This window comes from Homo sapiens, chromosome 16, assembly GCF_000001405.40.
Source record: "Homo sapiens chromosome 16, GRCh38.p14 Primary Assembly".
Taxonomy (NCBI): Eukaryota; Metazoa; Chordata; class Mammalia; order Primates; family Hominidae; genus Homo; species Homo sapiens.
Genome location: NC_000016.10, coordinates 58,535,468 through 58,553,912, shown reverse-complemented (window position 1 = coordinate 58,553,912; position 18,445 = coordinate 58,535,468). Strand labels below are relative to the sequence as shown.

The 18,445-nt window shown below is 38.0% G+C and overlaps 1 protein-coding gene and 1 non-coding gene across 5 annotated transcripts in view; both read left to right on the top strand.

Annotated features, from left to right (window-relative positions):
* Positions 1 to 18,445, top strand: part of CNOT1 (CCR4-NOT transcription complex subunit 1) — a 109,876-nt gene that overhangs the window by 75,914 nt on the left and 15,517 nt on the right. For 3 of the 4 annotated variants that reach the window (NR_049763.2, NM_001265612.2, NM_016284.5), the window contains exons 22-39: positions 53 to 131; positions 2,094 to 2,324; positions 2,641 to 2,781; positions 4,015 to 4,194; positions 6,231 to 6,347; positions 6,617 to 6,727; positions 7,164 to 7,241; positions 7,415 to 7,592; positions 8,422 to 8,552; positions 10,010 to 10,306; positions 11,345 to 11,485; positions 11,578 to 11,682; positions 12,293 to 12,412; positions 13,954 to 14,145; positions 14,999 to 15,141; positions 15,647 to 15,755; positions 15,853 to 16,022; positions 16,693 to 16,924. Coding sequence is in view for 3 of the 4 variants with exons in the window: in NM_001265612.2 (NP_001252541.1) it covers positions 53 to 131; positions 2,094 to 2,324; positions 2,641 to 2,781; positions 4,015 to 4,194; positions 6,231 to 6,347; positions 6,617 to 6,727; positions 7,164 to 7,241; positions 7,415 to 7,592; positions 8,422 to 8,552; positions 10,010 to 10,306; positions 11,345 to 11,485; positions 11,578 to 11,682; positions 12,293 to 12,412; positions 13,954 to 14,145; positions 14,999 to 15,141; positions 15,647 to 15,755; positions 15,853 to 16,022; positions 16,693 to 16,924 (2,755 nt within the window). In the remaining variant the exon portion in view is untranslated. Of the gene's footprint in view, positions 1 to 52; positions 132 to 2,093; positions 2,325 to 2,640; positions 2,782 to 4,014; positions 4,195 to 6,230; positions 6,348 to 6,616; positions 6,728 to 7,163; positions 7,242 to 7,414; positions 7,593 to 8,421; positions 8,553 to 10,009; positions 10,761 to 11,344; positions 11,486 to 11,577; positions 11,683 to 12,292; positions 12,413 to 13,953; positions 14,146 to 14,998; positions 15,142 to 15,646; positions 15,756 to 15,852; positions 16,023 to 16,692; positions 16,925 to 18,445 lie in introns of those variants that run through there. The other variant, NM_206999.3, reaches the window with a different exon arrangement.
* Positions 5,280 to 5,414, top strand: SNORA46 (small nucleolar RNA, H/ACA box 46). Its single transcript, NR_002978.1, has one exon. It is a non-coding gene; the product is annotated as a small nucleolar RNA, H/ACA box 46 (small nucleolar RNA).

Here is an 18,445-nt window from a genome sequence, read left to right as displayed (position 1 = left end):
AGTGATGCTTCTGTTCTGACATGAAATGATGGTAGAATAATTTTGTTGGCAGATTGAAGGACTATCCCCAGTATTGTCAGCATTTGGCTTCTATCAGTCACTTTATGCAATTTCCACATCATTTACAGGAGGTAAGTGCCCTCTGTAACTAAAACCCAAATAGCTATGTAGTATTTGGAGGGTTTAATATTTTGGCTTTTTTTTGTAGACTTGATAGTAATGGCATTAAGATTTCTTAATGATTGGCATGATATAGGTACACATATCTTTTGTTGAGGTTGCTCATTTTGTGGCCTTACAAGAGAACATGAAAAAATAATCATTCTTGGATTATCTTTTCTAAGTAGCAGGCTTACCTCAAAAACTTTTTACTCATTCTTTTAACCTGTAATGCAGTTGAAGAATAAACAGTTTTACTAAGAGAATCTTTATCTTAGATAAAGTACAGACACCCTGCCTGATGCTAAAAGGGAATTGGAGTGGGAATCTTGTGTATAAAAATCTGAAATTTTTGAGTTAATATGAGCCAAAACTGTTACACATAAGACTTAGATCATGTTTATTAAAAATACAGGCTTCTTACCACCTCGTTAGATTCCTTTGAGGTGTGGTTTTTGTTTTGTTTTTCTTTTTTTTTTGGGAGGGGGAGATGAAATCTTGCTCTGTTGCCCAGGCTAGAGTGAGGCAATCTTGGTTCACTGCAACATTGTCCTCCTGGGTTCAAGTGATTCTCCCACCTCAGCTTCCTGAGTAGCTGCGATTACAGGCACCTGCCATCATGCCTGGCTAATTTTTGTATTTTTGTAGAGACGAGGTTTCAACATGTTGGCCAGGCTGGTCTTGAACTCCTGACCTCAGGTGATCCGCCCACCTCCGCCCTGCAAAGTGCTGGGATTACAGGTGTGAGCCACCGCGCCCGCCTGAGATGCTTATTTAAAAGGAGTCAGTCCCTGGGAAAATAGACGTAAGGAATATACATTTTAAAAACCATTTTGTATGATTGTTATTATTACTGAAATTTGAGAAGCATTGTTTCAGTGACTGATTTTAGGTTAATTGGTAAGCATTATCTATACCTTTGTCTTGGTTTTGGTCAACATCAGTTTATATAGAACAGGAAAGTTGGTTAATTGACTTTATTTTTAACATGCAGTAGGCAACTTTATAAGATCTTATTTTAAGGAATCAGGAAGATCAGAATTTGAACCTACTTGATATTCTGTATTTTAATTTAGTTCAGTGTTCTCTACCTCATCCTTCTAGGTTTATTAGGAGGGCAGGGTTATTGTAATGACTTAATCTCTGGGAATGTGGAGTATATTCATTCAAGTGAGTGGATTGAGACAAATTAAGAGACAGGAATATAGAGCTTGAAAGACTTGGAGAAAGAGTGAGATGGCAGGGGAGTGATCACTCAAAACTAGTCCCTAGCACCCACTGTAGCAAGATAGCCAGAGAGAGAGAGAGATCATCACTTTCTGTACTTTATCAGCGTAAAGGGCTATACTTTCTTCTGAGACTCTTTCCTACTTGAGAAATGTCCCTCTAAAAATAAAACTGTTGCATACATAATTGGTAGGTTTAGTTCTGCTAGGTAAGGACTGTTGAAATAGCTTCAGGATCCTTATCACTCTAAATTGTGGGGATGGGCTATGTAAAGTGAGTTTTTTTTTTTTCGTAATAACAGCTTTATTGTGATAATAACTCATACTACCATGGTTTTTGTTTTGTTTTTTAAGGCCTTTGGTTTCTCATTGCTGCCTAATTAGAAAACAGATGAGTTTCCTGTATGAATTATTAAGACTTTTAAAGTTTGCGTTTTTAAAGAAGTTTAAAGGCATTTATATGCAGGTATCTGGGGCTGCTTCTTTAGAAGTTGTTTTGCTGTAGTTCTCTCATAAATACTAAGATTTTATCGCTGAAGTTCATGGAATCTACTTATGTATTAGTGCCAGGGTATGGGGCAAAGAGTATGTGAGCTAGATGAACCAAAAGAGCACTCAGACATGTTTTTTACCCTCTCAGAAAAGAGGGACGTATAATCCAGACTTAGCAATTAAGGTTAACTCTTTTTCCTCTCCCTACCCTTTTAGTATATTGAGTATGGACAGCAGTCTAGAGATCCTCCTGTGAAAATGCAAGGCTCTATCACAACCCCTGGAAGTATTGCACTGGCTCAGGCCCAGGCTCAGGCCCAGGTTCCAGCAAAAGCTCCTCTTGCTGGTCAAGTTAGCACTATGGTAACCACCTCAACAACTACCACTGTTGCTAAAACGGTTACGGTCACCAGGCCAACTGGAGTCAGCTTTAAGAAAGATGTGCCAGTAAGTAGATCTATCTTTTTTCTCTTCCAGGATTTATGATTATATTGTAATAATCAGTGGTGAACATGTATTAGAATTTTATCATAACACATGCCTACTAAAAAAGATATAAAAGACTGACATGTCTTCCTTTGTATCTCCCATCCTTATATTTCCCAGAGGCAAACATATTAATAGTTCACTATTCTTGCCTACATTTCTAATACACAGTCATACCATGTGTATTTTTTAACACTAAATCTGTATACATTATTGGATTTTTTTCAGGGAAGCATTTCAACTTATTTGCCTTATGTACTTTATTTTTTTTTTTTAGCCTTCTATTAATACTACAAATATAGATACGTTGCTTGTGGCCACAGATCAAACTGAGAGAATTGTGGAGCCCCCAGAAAATATCCAGGAGAAAATTGCTTTTATTTTCAATAATCTCTCACAGTCAAATATGACACAAAAGGTGAGCATGCTGTCATAGTTTATAAATGCCTTCTTTTTTCCTTAATGGACTAAAGGATGTATAGTTGGCCCTTTTACATACTCACTTTAAAGGTAGAGGTAATAAACTCAAAGGGAATATGTATATTTAACTAGTGGGTTTGGTAGACATTAAATAGTACCAGTTTTTAAGGTTTTGTTTTGCAGCAAGTTATAAGCTTTTTGAAATAAGCTTAATGTTCTCATGGTGATAGAAAGTTTCATTTGTACTAGTCATTAGTCATACCTCATTTTCTCCCAGAGACTATTCAGAGTATTTATTACAACCTAATAACTGAGGCAAACTTTGTGAAAAGCATAAAGAATGCATGCTACTTGCCCCTCAGATTACATGGTAAGACAGTATAGTTGACCCTTGAGCAACATGGGCGTTAGGGTTGCCAATCCTGTATGTAGCCAAATCCTGTTATAACTTTTTACTCCCCCAGAACTTAACTGTTAACAGCCTACTATTTTTTCTGCCATGCAGAAGCCTTACTGTGATAAAACAAATAGTTGATTAACACCTATCTTATATGCATATAATACTGTATTCTTAGAATAAAATAAACTAGAAAAAAGAATAAAATAAACTAGAAAAACTATGAAGGAAAATTATAAGGAAGAAAAGATATATTTACCATCTGTTAAGTGGAAATGGATTATCATACAGGTCTTTAACTTTATATTTAATAGGCTGAGGAGGAGAAGAGGAGGTCTTGGTGTCTCCGAGGTAGTGGAGGTATTAATAGAAGAAAATCTACATTTAATTTTACTCTATGTAGTTCAAATCCTTGTTCAAGGGTCAACTAACTGTACTTGGAAACGCCAGAGTTAGCTAAGGATTCCTGTAGATGGAAATTTAGGAAAACATAGTTCTGGAATTTTCCCCATTCTTGGTTACACTGTAGGTATGTTAATGGCAGCTTATAGATTAGTAATTTATGTGGAGATGGGGTACTACATGTTTTATAATTTTAAAGCTGAAAATAGCCATAGATGTTTCAGTCCCAATCACGTATGGGTTGAGTTGTGATTGACTATGGAATTGAGCATACTTTTCTTCATAGCATCTATCTGGTGTGAAGGAAAGTCATTCTTTAGCATCTAGTTAGTTTTGCAAGGAGCCATGTGCTGTATAGTATGGTTCATAGAAACCAAGTGTTATTTTATCATAGTGTAATTCTGTGCTTCCCATGTCGTATTGACCGGCTAGGTTGAAGAGCTAAAGGAAACGGTGAAAGAAGAATTTATGCCTTGGGTTTCACAGTATCTGGTTATGAAGAGAGTCAGTATTGAGCCAAACTTTCATAGCCTGTATTCAAACTTCCTTGACACGCTGAAGAATCCTGAATTTAACAAGATGGTTCTGAATGAGACCTACAGAAACATTAAAGTAAGAGTTGGTTCTTATATTTCCTTTAATTATTGCTTTGAATTTGGAAATATTTGATTATATAGGTAGGATTTTTGCTATTTTTCCATATATATTGTCAATATTAGGTACCTCTGGAAATTGCTGTAGATTTTGTTTCTTATATGGAACTAAATTTTATGCAGAACTTAAATTTATAGGCATACCCTGTGCCTTTTCTTTGAAAGTAACCACTATTATGAATTGTTTTTGTCATGCCATGCATGATTTTAGAACTTTACCACTGTTATACATAAGCAGCATAGTATTGGTTAGCATATTCTGTATGGTGTCGCCCTCTGTACATCCTTTTCTTTTTTTTTCACTTACTTTTTTTTCTCCCCTGGATATTATTCATGATAATGATAATGCTCTTTGCTGTAGCCCCCTTTTTTTTTTTTTTTCAATTTTTTTGAGATGTGGTCTCACTCTGTTGCTTAGGCTGGAGTGCAGTGGCACGATCTCGGCTCACTGCAGCCTCCACCTCCCAGGTTCAAGCAGTTCTCTTACTTCAGCCTCCCGAGTAGCTGGGATTATAGTTGTACCGCCATGCCCAGCTAATTTTTATATTTTTAGTAGAGACGGGGTTTAATCATATTGGCCAGGCTGGTCCCGAACTCCTGACCTTAGGTGATCCACCCTCCTCGGCCTCCCAGAGTTCTGGGATTACAGGCCTGAGCCACTGTGCCCGGCCAGTCCTCTTTTTTAAAAAACAGAAAAATATAGTCTTGTAGAAAACCATTGTATGTATTTGTATTGCTGCTGGGCATTTGTGTTGTTAATCACTTAAACTATTATAAACAATGCTGTCCTGAATGTTTTCGTTTGTATCTTGTAGTATTCAAGTGCAAGATATCTTTAGACTCTAAATCTGTTTGTGGAATAGCTGTTGTCTAGGAGTCTGTGCAGTTTAAGGTCAAATTCTACTGAGCTGAGGCTTATTCAACAAAATTCAAGTATTTTAATTTCTAAACCATCATTTATTTCTTAGGAGGAAAAACTTCTAGAACCAGCATACAGCTGTGGTCATTCTTTGCTCAATAACTTGGGTCATTGGCTTAGGAACCAGCACTATATTTAAACCTGTGGATGGGAATATTCCCCATTCTTGGTTACGCTGTAGTGCAAAAGAATTCCTGGCTCTCTGTTGCACAGCTGACTTGTGCCATTCTGCTGTTGCTGTATAGAGTTAAGGAACATGGCTCTATTTCGTTTTTATTATCTGATAGCAAGGGTGGTTGGGATACATAAAAGTTTCCACATACTCTGTAGCAAAGTTTCAAGACCATGTTTTTTAAACAGAAGTTTAAATATAGCCCTAAGTCAAGAGGTACCACAGAGTAGATGGGTATATACATGTGTGCATACCTGCAGCCAAAACACTCTCCTATGTTAGTTCTGCCCCCCCTTAGAAAAACAGTAACCGGAGAATCAGTTAAATGGTTTGGGTTTTTTAGAAATTTGAAAAGAAGTATATAAACAGTATTATACTATATCTCAGAAAGTTATCTTGGTTGGCTGCAGAGATTTGTTAATGACCTGGGTATACTGAAGATTGCAATAGGAGGCTAATTTGATTATATTCCTTTGTATGCTTGCTGCCTTTAAGGACTTAAGCATGGCTATCATCCTCATTTAAATTAATTTAGCACTTCAAAATAGCTTTGTAGTTAGGTCTCTGCTTTAAACCTAGCTAAGGTTTTCAGAGTTGAAAATACTTTTCTAGGGGAGGATAGCTGGCACATAACTTTGTGTTCTTTTTGAATTTTGTGCAATGTGTTTGTACCTATTTTGAAAAAATAAAATGTAAAGACTTCTTCAAGGTAAAAATAGCACTGTTGAATCATAAACACAGCAAAATGATATTGAGAATGATATACAGAGTAATTCTACTTTGGGGCCTGTTCTTAGAAATGATGACTTGTCTTTAGGATAGGATAATGGAATTCTCAAATACTTAGTTGAGTTTTCTTTCATAAGCTTATTCTCATATCTTTCTTAATCTTACACTATTTCAGGTGCTCCTGACCTCTGATAAAGCTGCAGCCAATTTCTCAGATCGTTCTTTGCTGAAGAACTTGGGACATTGGCTAGGAATGATCACATTAGCTAAAAACAAACCCATCTTACACACTGTGAGTTTCATCTAAATGTGTAAAAATTGAGAATCTTCAGCACATTATGATTACAAGTATTGGCTGTTTGGAGCTATTTAATGATTATTGGGGTTTTGTAAGATTTTGGCCCACGTTTTGAGTTGTTAACCCCTTTTTGTAAGGCAAGGACTAGACATTATGTTGATTCCTGTTTTGGGGATAAGCTTGGCAAAATACTTTTCTTTGGTTTTGTTATACCATTTTGGGGGGTATATTCCCCGCTTTTGAAAGTATTTTTCTTATTCTAGGACTTGGATGTGAAATCATTGCTGCTAGAGGCTTATGTTAAAGGACAACAAGAATTGCTCTATGTAGTGCCCTTTGTTGCCAAAGTCTTAGAATCTAGCATTCGTAGTGTGGTGAGTAGATTTTAATATTTTATTTATGACTAATTTCTAAGCATTGCTTTGTTTTAGCATGAGGTCAAGAGATTATATTCTTAGTTCTTGTGAGGTAAAGCTAGTTAAGTCTGTTTTCCTCTATGGCACTTGGATTTCCAATTTGAGAGGCTGGGTGAAATAAGAAAGATTATAATGGTTGGCTTTGGTTTTTGGTTTTTTGTTTTGTTTTGTTTTTGAAATGTGATATAGGTGAGAAGGCTAGGGGTTTTGTTATGGCTACAGAGGTATAAGTGTTTAACTATGTTTAACTGTTTTTGGTTATTTTTTAATCCTTGTTTTTTGTTTTTTATTTGTTTGACTCCCCCCTACCCCCTTATGTTGTATTGAATTGTTTTAAATAATCCAAATTAAAGGGCACATTTTGGGCCAGCTTAACATAATAGCTTTTCTTTAGGTTTTTAGGCCACCAAACCCTTGGACAATGGCAATTATGAATGTATTAGCTGAGCTACATCAGGAGCATGACTTAAAGGTAATTTACTGCTTCCTTGTCCTCTGGAACATTCTTTGCCTTCACATTATTAAAACTTACAGTGAAGGCAGGGTATTTCGGGGGAAGTACTATAATAACTGAAAGTAGAGTATATTATGAGTAAAACTAAAGTTTTCTTTTAAAAATTCTAATCCAACTCTGGAACTGTGCAGTTAAACTTGAAGTTTGAAATCGAGGTTCTCTGCAAGAACCTTGCATTAGACATCAATGAGCTAAAACCTGGAAACCTCCTAAAGGATAAAGATCGCCTGAAGAATTTAGATGAGCAACTCTCTGCTCCAAAGAAAGATGTCAAGCAGCCAGAAGAACTCCCTCCCATCACAACCACAAGTAAGTGTGCTAATTAGTCAAGGAAGGCTTCTGTTAGCTAGGATACTATCTTAAATGGTACTTGTCCATGTATATCGCAAACTATAATTTCCCACATAATGTAGTGGTGAAACTTTGTATACGTTTTGGTGAGCCTTCTAATTATCAAGCAGAAGTAATGACTAGGCCTTGTGTTACCATCTTAGATTCCATCCTGACAGTTCATGCATATTATTAACTAAATGTGATTTAATCAGTTGCCTCTCATACCCCAGCTAGGCCAGGTTATCTCCTTTGTTGTGTGAAGTCCCAGAAATAACTGCATACTATGATGGCCTGTTAACCCCTCAAATCTGGGTATGGCCAGACCTGCTAGATCTGCCAAGGGAATGGGACTGTTTTATCTACATGAAGAAGATGGGAGAAGGGTATGGGAGTGTTGAATGATTGGGAGTTGTGGTTAGAATAAATTGAGCTTTTCTTTCTTTCTCAGTCCTCAGCAGCTGAGAATCCCCAGATAAACCTAGGAACAGGCTAGGTTGAAAACATACATTTATAATATAGACTAAGTTTATAGGACTTGGGCCTGACAATATGGCATGGCTGCTCAGTTGATTTCTGTGCTGTGGGGCACTGGCACTGACATAGTTTAACATACTTCGTGTATATCTCTGTTATAACAACAGAATTTCCCTTTCAGGGTGGGAAAAATAGGACCTGCTACATCCTTCCCTCCTCTCCCAATTTAATTCGTTTAATTAGATAATGACCACTTAATGATATTAAGCTAATTTTATAATAAAGTCAACAAATGTACTTTTTAAATCTCTTTTTATTACTTGACATTTAGCAACTTCTACTACACCAGCTACCAACACCACTTGTACAGCCACGGTTCCACCACAGCCACAGTACAGCTACCACGACATCAATGTCTATTCCCTTGCGGGCTTGGCACCACACATTACTCTGAATCCAACAGTAAGTAAACACTGCTCCATTCTCCCAGCTTCTAGTTTGTGATAAGGTAAATTTTGTTTGGCCACCTTTTCTTCAGCTCTTTGCCCTTCCCTCTGGATTCCTAGGTTGTAGAGTTTGTCAGAGAGGATGGAGATCTAGAACTGCTGTGTAGTTCAGTTGGGATTGTTCTTCTTCCCTTAAGAGATAGAGTGACTAGATGTTAGTTATATTGGTTCCTCATATCCAAACCCATGATACTAAAATTTAGCTAGCAATAAAATCACAATCTCCAGGAATTCCTTACACAGAGTAAAAGATGCTTAATGTATATCATAGCTTTTTATTTTCTTTATCTTGTCACTTTAGCCTTCTGCAGTAAGCCATTTCTTCCACCTGAAGGCTGGAAATGAGCTGATTGTGGGTGTGTATACAATTTCTAGGCTAAGATCTTGAAGTAGGACTTAGCACTTTGAGTTATGTTGTTGTGGCCTGGTTCCAGAAGGAGGTCTGATACAATATGGTCATGTAAGATGACCTCTGATCAGTCCTTTTTCCTATAGTTAGTATTTGCTTTGTACATTCAAGGGGACATTTTATTGTTATCTTTAGTCTTTTATTCTACTTAACAGAATATATAATACAGAATCAGGTGAGTGGAGTTTTCATTGTCCTTACTTTTTAGAAACTGAAAATGTTCACAAATACAAGAGTAACATTAATACATTGAACTTTTTATTAAAAGGAATTGAAAGGGTATCAGAGAAATCATTTTATCCTTGTCCCCCCATCCCCACTCCTATAGACATGGTACTTAGTTTTAGAGGGGTGGAGTGAGAGGCAGTGGGACACCTAGATCCAGAAATTGTGATTCATCTTTAGAATACTCTTAGTGTTGTGAACACTATTATATGCTAGTTTAATTTTTTTTTTTTTTAATTCAACAAGTTAAAGGGACCAAGTAAGTTTTGGGGCATAATTTACACCTGCAATAAAAGATTAGAAACAGCCTTTCAAATGAAGCCAAATACTTCAGTGGGCACTGTAAAATGCTCACTATTCTGATGAATTAATTTTAATAGTTTTTGTAAGAAGTCTTTTTTCTATAAACTTTATTCTTTTTACATTTTCCCAAGCTAGTGGAGAAGTTGCTTTCTTTTAAGAGCACTTGAGCCACAAATTTTAAATAAGCCAGCAGTGTGTCTTTAAGTAGTTAATGCATATTGTAATGAACAGTTTGTCCATTAAACTTGGATTTAAAAAAAAGACATATCTATTATTGTGTATCACAGGGTATACTGAATACATTTCCCTGTATGGAGCTCAGTTTCTGTTACCCGAATTTTCCATTGGTTAACTTTAAGTAGAAACTGGTAGTTTTTGGTTAATCTTGATTTACAAAATCATGAATGTGATTGCCAGTAGGAATTGGATTGTCTTATTTAAACAAGGTGTTGACTTTGTCCTCCCCAACCCCCCAGATTCCCTTGTTTCAGGCCCATCCACAGTTGAAGCAGTGTGTGCGTCAGGCAATTGAACGGGCTGTCCAGGAGCTGGTCCATCCTGTGGTGGATCGATCAATTAAGATTGCCATGACTACTTGTGAGCAAATAGTCAGGAAGGATTTTGCCCTGGATTCGGAGGAATCTCGAATGCGAATAGCAGCTCATCACATGATGCGTAACTTGACAGCTGGAATGGCTATGATTACATGCAGGGAACCTTTGCTCATGAGCATATCTACCAACTTAAAAAACAGTTTTGCCTCAGCCCTTCGTGTAAGTTGGCTATTTCCTTGGTATAGGTACAAAACGTATTACTGCTTGTCTGTAATAATTTTTTTCTTTGTCTATATATGGCACTGGGCGTTACCACTTATTCTTAATAATCACCATATTTGTTTGATGTCTTCCATCATTTTAGATTGTAATTCTGTGAGGCAAAGCATCATGTCTGTGTGTTTTTTTTTTTTTCTGTTATATTCTCAACACGATGTTTGACAGATAGTAGATACCCAAATATTTGTTGGTTTAAATAAATTAAGATTTAAAAAGGAAATGTGATATCTGACAATCTCATTTCTGTTAACCAGGAAGGATGAAAGCTGTTTGAGAAGGCCGATACAAAATGACTTAAAGTGATGTTGCATGTGCACACACTTTTCAAATAATTCACTTACTAGTTTTGAGTCTCAGATATCATGGTTAATAATTCAGGTATCATGATTAATAATTTGTTTACTGCTTTAATGATTTTTTTTGGTTGTTTTTTGCCTTTTTTTTAATGTTTCATGAGACAGGGTCTCACTCTGTAGCTTAGGCTAGAGTACAGTGGTGCAGTCTTGGCTCACTGCATCCTCCACCTCTGAGGTTCAACTGATTCTCGTGCTTCAGCCTCCCAAGTAGCTGGGATTACAGGCATGTGCTACCACGCCCCACTAATTTATGTATTTTTTTAGTAGAGAAGTGGCTTCACCATGTTGGCTAGGCTGGTCTCAAACTCCTGGCCTCAAGTGATCTACCTGCCTTGGCCTCCCAAAGTGCTGGGATTAGAGGTGTGAGCCACCGCGTCTGGCCTGCTTTACTGATTTTAAGGCATGTTCACAATAAACTGATAAGGTGTCTAGGATATTTTTGTCTTAAAAGTGAGGAAGCTGTTAAGACTGTTTCAAGATCACAGCTTGTTCATAAGTAGAGTCAGAACTTAAAATGCATTTGCCAAATGCACTGCATTTTCTACTATCCTGTCTGTCCACATCAACTTTCAAGTCTTTTTCCTTCTATTCCCCCCACCCCCCCACCCACCTCCATTAATAGACTGCTTCCCCACAACAAAGAGAAATGATGGATCAGGCAGCTGCTCAATTAGCTCAGGACAATTGTGAGTTGGCTTGCTGTTTTATTCAGAAGACTGCAGTAGAAAAAGCAGGCCCTGAGATGGACAAGAGATTAGCAACTGTAAGTGTTTAGAATTTGCCTTTTAAGATTTTCTTTTTTAATTTAGGGAAGTGCCTTATAACAAGAACCTCAGTGACTTTTTTTGTTTGCAGGAATTTGAGCTGAGAAAACATGCTAGGCAAGAAGGACGCAGATACTGTGATCCTGTTGTTTTAACATATCAAGCTGAACGGATGCCAGAGCAAATCAGGCTGAAAGTGAGAATTGGGGCTCTGTCTTTCCCCGTCCCATCTTTGTTTTATTTTTAATGTTGTTGTTGATTGAACTCCTTACTGGAATTAGGACAGCAGGGTTAAATATTGTTTATGAGAAAACATCTTAACTTGATAGCATTTCACTGAATGGCTGCCTGTGGAGGAGGTATGGAAATAGCTCTAAATTCCCTTGCTCCTCCAGAGTTGTTGAAGTGTTATTACTCTAAGGAGTTCATGTGCCTGCTAGTTTTCATGTTTCCCAACTTGGGCTTCTCACATTAATGGTTGCTTATTGTTCCCAGTGAGACAGTGAGAAATCTGATAATATTTACCAGCTTCAAGGGAGAATTGCACTGGCATCGTCCCATGTGAGGCATTTTCCAAGAGAAACTCTCAGTTAATTTATAAATGAGGTGACTCTTAGCAGGATTCAGGGAAATGAGAAGCCCTCTTCTGAACTGCATTTGTGTGTGCGTGCATGCTTAATCATGCTGTTATATGTTGTAATGACTCTTGTGTCCCTGAGCTTACCCACATGCAGACTTTCCACTTTCAAAACAGTTTATTTTGATTATTGAGTGAATTCTGTCAAAATAGGTTTTCTTCTTTCAAGGTTGGTGGTGTGGACCCAAAGCAGTTGGCTGTTTACGAAGAGTTTGCACGCAATGTTCCTGGCTTCTTACCTACAAATGACTTAAGTCAGCCCACGGGATTTTTAGCCCAGCCCATGAAGGTAAATGTGTTTTAGATTAAATTGAGTGTTTTGCCAATTAATTTAAATGTTTTTGACATTTAATATATGTTTTTGACTTGCTTCCTGGGAGAATAATTTACAGGGGAAAAAACACCTATAGTTTTTGAGTTGTAGGTATTCTTTGTGTCCAATTAAGTATGACATACAGGGGATTAAAGAAAAATTGACATGGGTGTGGGTGATTTAACTTTAATGTTCGGCCTAATTAGGGGAATTCTCATGGTAACATAATAACTTTCGGTTTTTTATTTTTAAATTTTATTATTTATTTTTTTGAGACAGGGTCTTTCTCTGTCACCCAGGCTGGAGTGCAGTGGCGCGATCTCAGCTCATTGCAACCTCCACCTCCCAGACTCAAGCGATCCTCCCACCTCAGCCTCCTGAGGAGCTAGGACTACAGGCGTGTGCCACCATGCTCAGCTAATTTTTGTATTTTTTGTAAAGATGGGGTTTTGCCATGTTGCCTAGACTAGACTCAAACTGCTGACCTCAAGTGATCGCCTACCTTGGCCTCCCAAAGTGCTGGGATTACAGGCCTGAGCCATTGTGCCCAGCCTTCCCATTTTTTAAATAAAAGAATTTTCTAAAATTTTCAAAGGTGTTTACAGAAAACTTGGAAATATAGGGAAAAATATTTTCCCCCGAACCGGTCGATAGTAAGTTGCTGACCTGATACCCCCATCGCTCCTGAATCCTTTGGTTTGTATTTCTTACAAAACCTTTTTCCTTTGGTTTGTATTTCTTAAAAAACCCTTTTCCTGTGTGACCATGGTACAACCATTAAGGTCAGAAATGAATACTAATAACCTTACTCCATCTAATTCATAGACCTCACTCGAGTTTCACCATGTATCCCAATAATGTATAGTAAAAGACCTGTTTTAGAATCACACATTTCTTCAGTTGTCATATTTTTAAAGTCTCCCTCAGTTCTAGCTGGTGTAGGTAACTCAGTTTTTCCTCATCTTTCATGACCATAACACTTCTGAATATTATAGGCTAATTATTTTCTAAATGACTTGATTTGTTTGTCCAGTGTATTCTCATGACTAGGTTCAGGTAATGTGTTTTTAAAAATAGGAATAGCTCAGAAGTAATGCTGTATTCTTACTCTATCCTATCAGGCTTTGACAGTTGGACTGAGTACTGTATTTTTCATGGTTTGAAACACTTACTTTCTTAGGATATAGAGGGCTTAGTAGATGGTACAAGTGGTGCTGCCCTCAGTCTGTCTCATTGTTACTAATGCTCTCTTTTATCACTTGATTATGCTGCTGTCTGCCAGGTTTTCCTCTCTCAAATGAAACACCTCTTCCCTTATGCCTGCCTTGTACTGTGCCACTTGATGGTATTAATTCTGAATAGCTCAGGAAGAAGGAAAAGAAGAGGCCCTCCATGTTTGAATGTAAAAATAAGAAAAAGGGAGTAAACATACTAGTAGACCTCTATTTGATACATGTGTCAATAAAAAACCTTAACATTCTTTTGTCTCTTGTTGGTTGTTTCCTTCTGTAAAACAGCAAGCTTGGGCAACAGATGATGTAGCTCAGATTTATGATAAGTGTATTACAGAACTGGAGCAACATCTACATGCCATCCCACCAACTTTGGCCATGAACCCTCAAGCTCAGGCTCTTCGAAGTCTCTTGGAGGTTGTAGTTTTATCTCGAAACTCTCGGGATGCCATAGCTGCTCTTGGATTGCTCCAAAAGGTTGGTTCTTAAGCTATTACTTTTAGAAAATGCTAGGTGTGTAAACATTTATTGACCTGCACCACCATCTACATATTTATGCAGTTATGCTTAAGATTTCATAATATAAATCAAGTTCTGTAAGTAGGTGATTTTTTTTTTTTCCAACGTAGAATGTAGTCATGGCAGTTTTGAATGGTAAACTTGGAAATCTTCATTTTTTTTCTTAAAGATATTCTGGAAATGTGATTTGAAGAAACTTTAAAAGGTAGCCCTTTAGAGGGGTGTGTGTGTCTGTGTGTGTGTGTGTGTGTGTGTGTGTAAGAGACAGGGTCTCTCTCTGTCAGGCTTGAGTGCAGTGATGTGATCATGGGCTTAAGTGAACCTCCCACATCACCTTCTCGAGTAGCTGGTATTACAGGTGCTCACTGCCAAGCCAAGCTAATTTTTAATTTTTTTGTAGAGACAGGTCTTGCTTTGTTGTCCAGGTCGTTCTCAATCTCCTGGGCTCAAGTGGCCCTCCCTCCTGAGCCTCCCAAAGCGCTAGGATTATAGACATGAGCCACTGAGCCCAGCTGCCCTTTAGATTTTGAGGGACAAGTTGATCCAATAATTTGGATCAGGGTAGGTAGGGAGCCCTGGATTTTAACTACAGCAGAGCCTTTTATGACAATGAAGAGCACAGAATGAACTTAAATCAGATAGAATTTAGAGTGTGTGTGATAGGCAACTGAAAGGGATGTTTGGAGAGTGGAAAGGACAGGGAGGCTTTGGAAGGTATTTGGTACTTGGCATTGAGATTTGGTTTCTGGCTGTGATAGTTGGGCCAAGCACTGTATTTTTCATGGTTTTGAACGCTTTCTTTCTCCCATAGGCTGTAGAGGGCTTACTAGATGCCACAAGTGGTGCTGATGCTGACCTTCTGCTGCGCTACAGGGAATGCCACCTCTTGGTCCTAAAAGCTCTGCAGGATGGCCGGGCATATGGGTCTCCATGGTGCAACAAACAGATCACAAGGTCAGTAGCCATCTTCGAAAAGTAGTGAGTATTGGACTGCGACTGCCTTTTGACATAGATAGTACTGTTTATGTCCAGGGGTTTCCCTTTTTTCTAGTAGGTAGGTCGGACACTTAGACTTCCTACTTCTGAGAGGTGAGAATTGTTAAGTAGTTGTTTTCCATCTGGTCTCTACCTTCTCCCCATGTTGGATATAGAAAACCAGTACCTTGTTTTGGGGAATAAATTGTAGGTCATTGTTTTAAAAGGTTACAGTGATTTCTCAGAAGTGGTATTCGTGTATAAGTATTTTAATGTCTTAAATGGAATACTCTGTATCCTAGGATTTGAAAGGAAAGCTTGGGCTATCTGTTCTATTTCATTACTGGCTGTTTTTAAATTTGGACACTGATTTGGAGTTGAATCTCAAGGCATTCTTAGTTTGGAGCAAATTTCCATTGAGTAAAATGGGCCCTTTTACAGTATGGTTAAGCCTATATGAGTAAAGATATTGAACTTTTTCTAGGTGCCTAATTGAATGTCGAGATGAATATAAATATAATGTGGAGGCTGTGGAGCTGCTAATTCGCAATCATTTGGTTAATATGCAGCAGTATGATCTTCACCTAGCGCAGGTATGGAAGGAATTTACTTGCACGGACAAAAGGACTCAGGGAAGTACGTTTGCTCTTAAGTGTTTTCCCTCTCACATTATGTTTTCTGTGTTGCCAGTCAATGGAGAATGGCTTAAACTACATGGCTGTGGCATTTGCTATGCAGTTAGTAAAAATCCTGCTGGTGGATGAAAGGAGTGTTGCTCATGTTACTGAGGCAGATCTGTTCCACACCATTGAAACCCTCATGAGGATTAATGCTCATTCCAGAGGCAATGCTCCAGAAGGGTGAGGATGAAATGCTTTGAGATCCCTGTGCATTTAGTAGTCTTCTAATATCTTTAGGAATGAATATGCAGACTTACTAACATTACTTGTTATAACTGCTTTACCAACCACATATGGGTGGGTAGCTTTGGTAAGGGCTAATATTGTCACTTGAAGTATGAAAGCCTAATTGACTGCCAAGTCTTCTTGGCACAGAGCAGTACATACGGTACCAGACTTAGTGTCAGAGTCCTATGTTTAAGCCCTGGTCATGCCACTTAAAAGCTTTCTGATTTTAGGCAAATTGACTTATCCTCCTTAAACCTATTCTTTATAGAAAATGGAAATAATTTCTCAAAGAACTATTGGAAATCAAGAGAAGTAACGTAAAGAAAGCATGGTACATAGTAGGCAAACAGTGAATATTTGTCGACTCTGAACATCAGTTTCATTTAAATGAACACGTTTTTTGGGCAAGAAGTAGCTTAACTGAGGGCAGTTGTTTGTGTGTTGTATGCTCATGAGCAAGCGGATAAGAGACTAAGTATAGTTTTGTTTCAGTGTGGAAGTGGTAAAGCGAAGTGGTAAACCACTCTGGTGGTTGCTGTTAAATAAGCAAACTATACATGCGTATGTCTGTAAAATCACAACTACGAGGAGACTGATTTTCACCCTTTATTTATTGTGCTAGATTGCCCCAGCTGATGGAAGTAGTGCGATCCAACTATGAAGCAATGATTGATCGTGCTCATGGAGGCCCAAACTTTATGATGCATTCTGGGATCTCTCAAGCCTCAGAGTATGATGACCCTCCAGGCCTGAGGGAGAAGGCAGAGTATCTTCTGAGGGAATGGGTGAATCTCTACCATTCAGCAGCAGCTGGCCGCGACAGTACCAAAGCTTTCTCTGCATTTGTTGGACAGGTAGAGCTTTTGGAAAGAAAGGTGCTTTTTATTCAACATAAGTAGGGTGTGATGCCTCCAATATTAAAGCTCAGTATTGCGTACATGTGGTCAGACAGTTACCTCCATACTCATGCAAACCCAAACTGTCATCATTATATGGTTAAATTACAGCCTGTTTTCTCATGGTTGATCACTAAGCAGTAAAGGCAACATTCCCTCCCACCGTTGGTTCTGTATATTCCATTTCAGTTGTCACAGCTACAAAGTACAATGGGTCAGATAATGAATAATAAAACTACCAAATGTATTTTTACTAGCACTGATGGGACTGTGGGCTAATAAATATGTAAAATTCTCACAGTAGCCCACATTAAAAAAAAATGACAAAACAAAAATGCTTATTTAAATGGTAGAGTGTTTTATTGTATTTTCTAATTTAAATATCTACCTAAACGTAGTGACATGTTCCTTTGGAAAATACTTCCCAGTATTTTCATTAGATTTGATGCAAGTTGGACTTTGACTTAAAAGGGTTAGGAACAAAGCACCTAACTGAAAATCAAGTTTGGCAGGAATGTTTGTGAATAGGATGAACAGGAAAAATGTCGGAACCGAGCCATAGTACCATTTAGCATTCGTTTTTTATTATCACTGGTTGCTTTCAGCGACTGTGAGGGAATCAGACACAATAAGTCCATGTGTCCTAATTTATAATATAACTTGGCAAGAGTGGTACTTTTCCTGAATTGACCTTGGAATTTCCTTTATTAGAACTGTTGTAATTTTTTTTCAGGGTGAGTTGTCTGCTTATTTCTGCAGATTGACCATTATATTTCTTCAAACTGAACCCAAAACTTTTAGGTATATTGCTAAAGAAAGATTACAAATTAGGTCTCTTTTCAAATTAATGACAATTGAATGTGGAAGAACTGACTTCAATTCTAGAAGTTATTTGAAACTAGGTTTACTTTTCAGCCAGGTGCTGTGGCTCACGCCTGTAATCCCAGCACTTTGGGAGGCCGAGGCAGGCGGATCACGAGGTCAGGATATCGAGACCATCCTGGCTAACACAGTGAAACCCTGTCTCTACTAAAAATACAAAAAAATTAGCCGGGTGTGGTGGCGGGTGCCTGTAGTCCCAGCTACTCGGGAGGCTGAGGCAGAAGAATGGCGTGAACCCAGGAGATGAAGCTTACAGTGAGCCGAGATTGCACCACTGCACTCCAGCCTGGGCGACAGAGCGAGGCTCCGTCTCAAAAAAAATTAAAAAAAAAAAAGAAATTAGGTTTACTTTTCAAAATGAATGTTACTCAGTAAATCATACCGAGTATATTTCTCCCCTAAAAGAATCCAGGGAATTACAAAGCATACCCTACTGAAAAGCTATTACTGCATGTTTTATAGTCTGATTTATAATTTGAATGGAAGAAATTGGAATCCATTGGTCTTTCTGATCATTGCTATTTCGTGGGTATGGATGTGGCACCTGTCTCAGCCCTTCCTGCTGGCTTATTTGCTCTCATTTCATCTTTCTCTTGA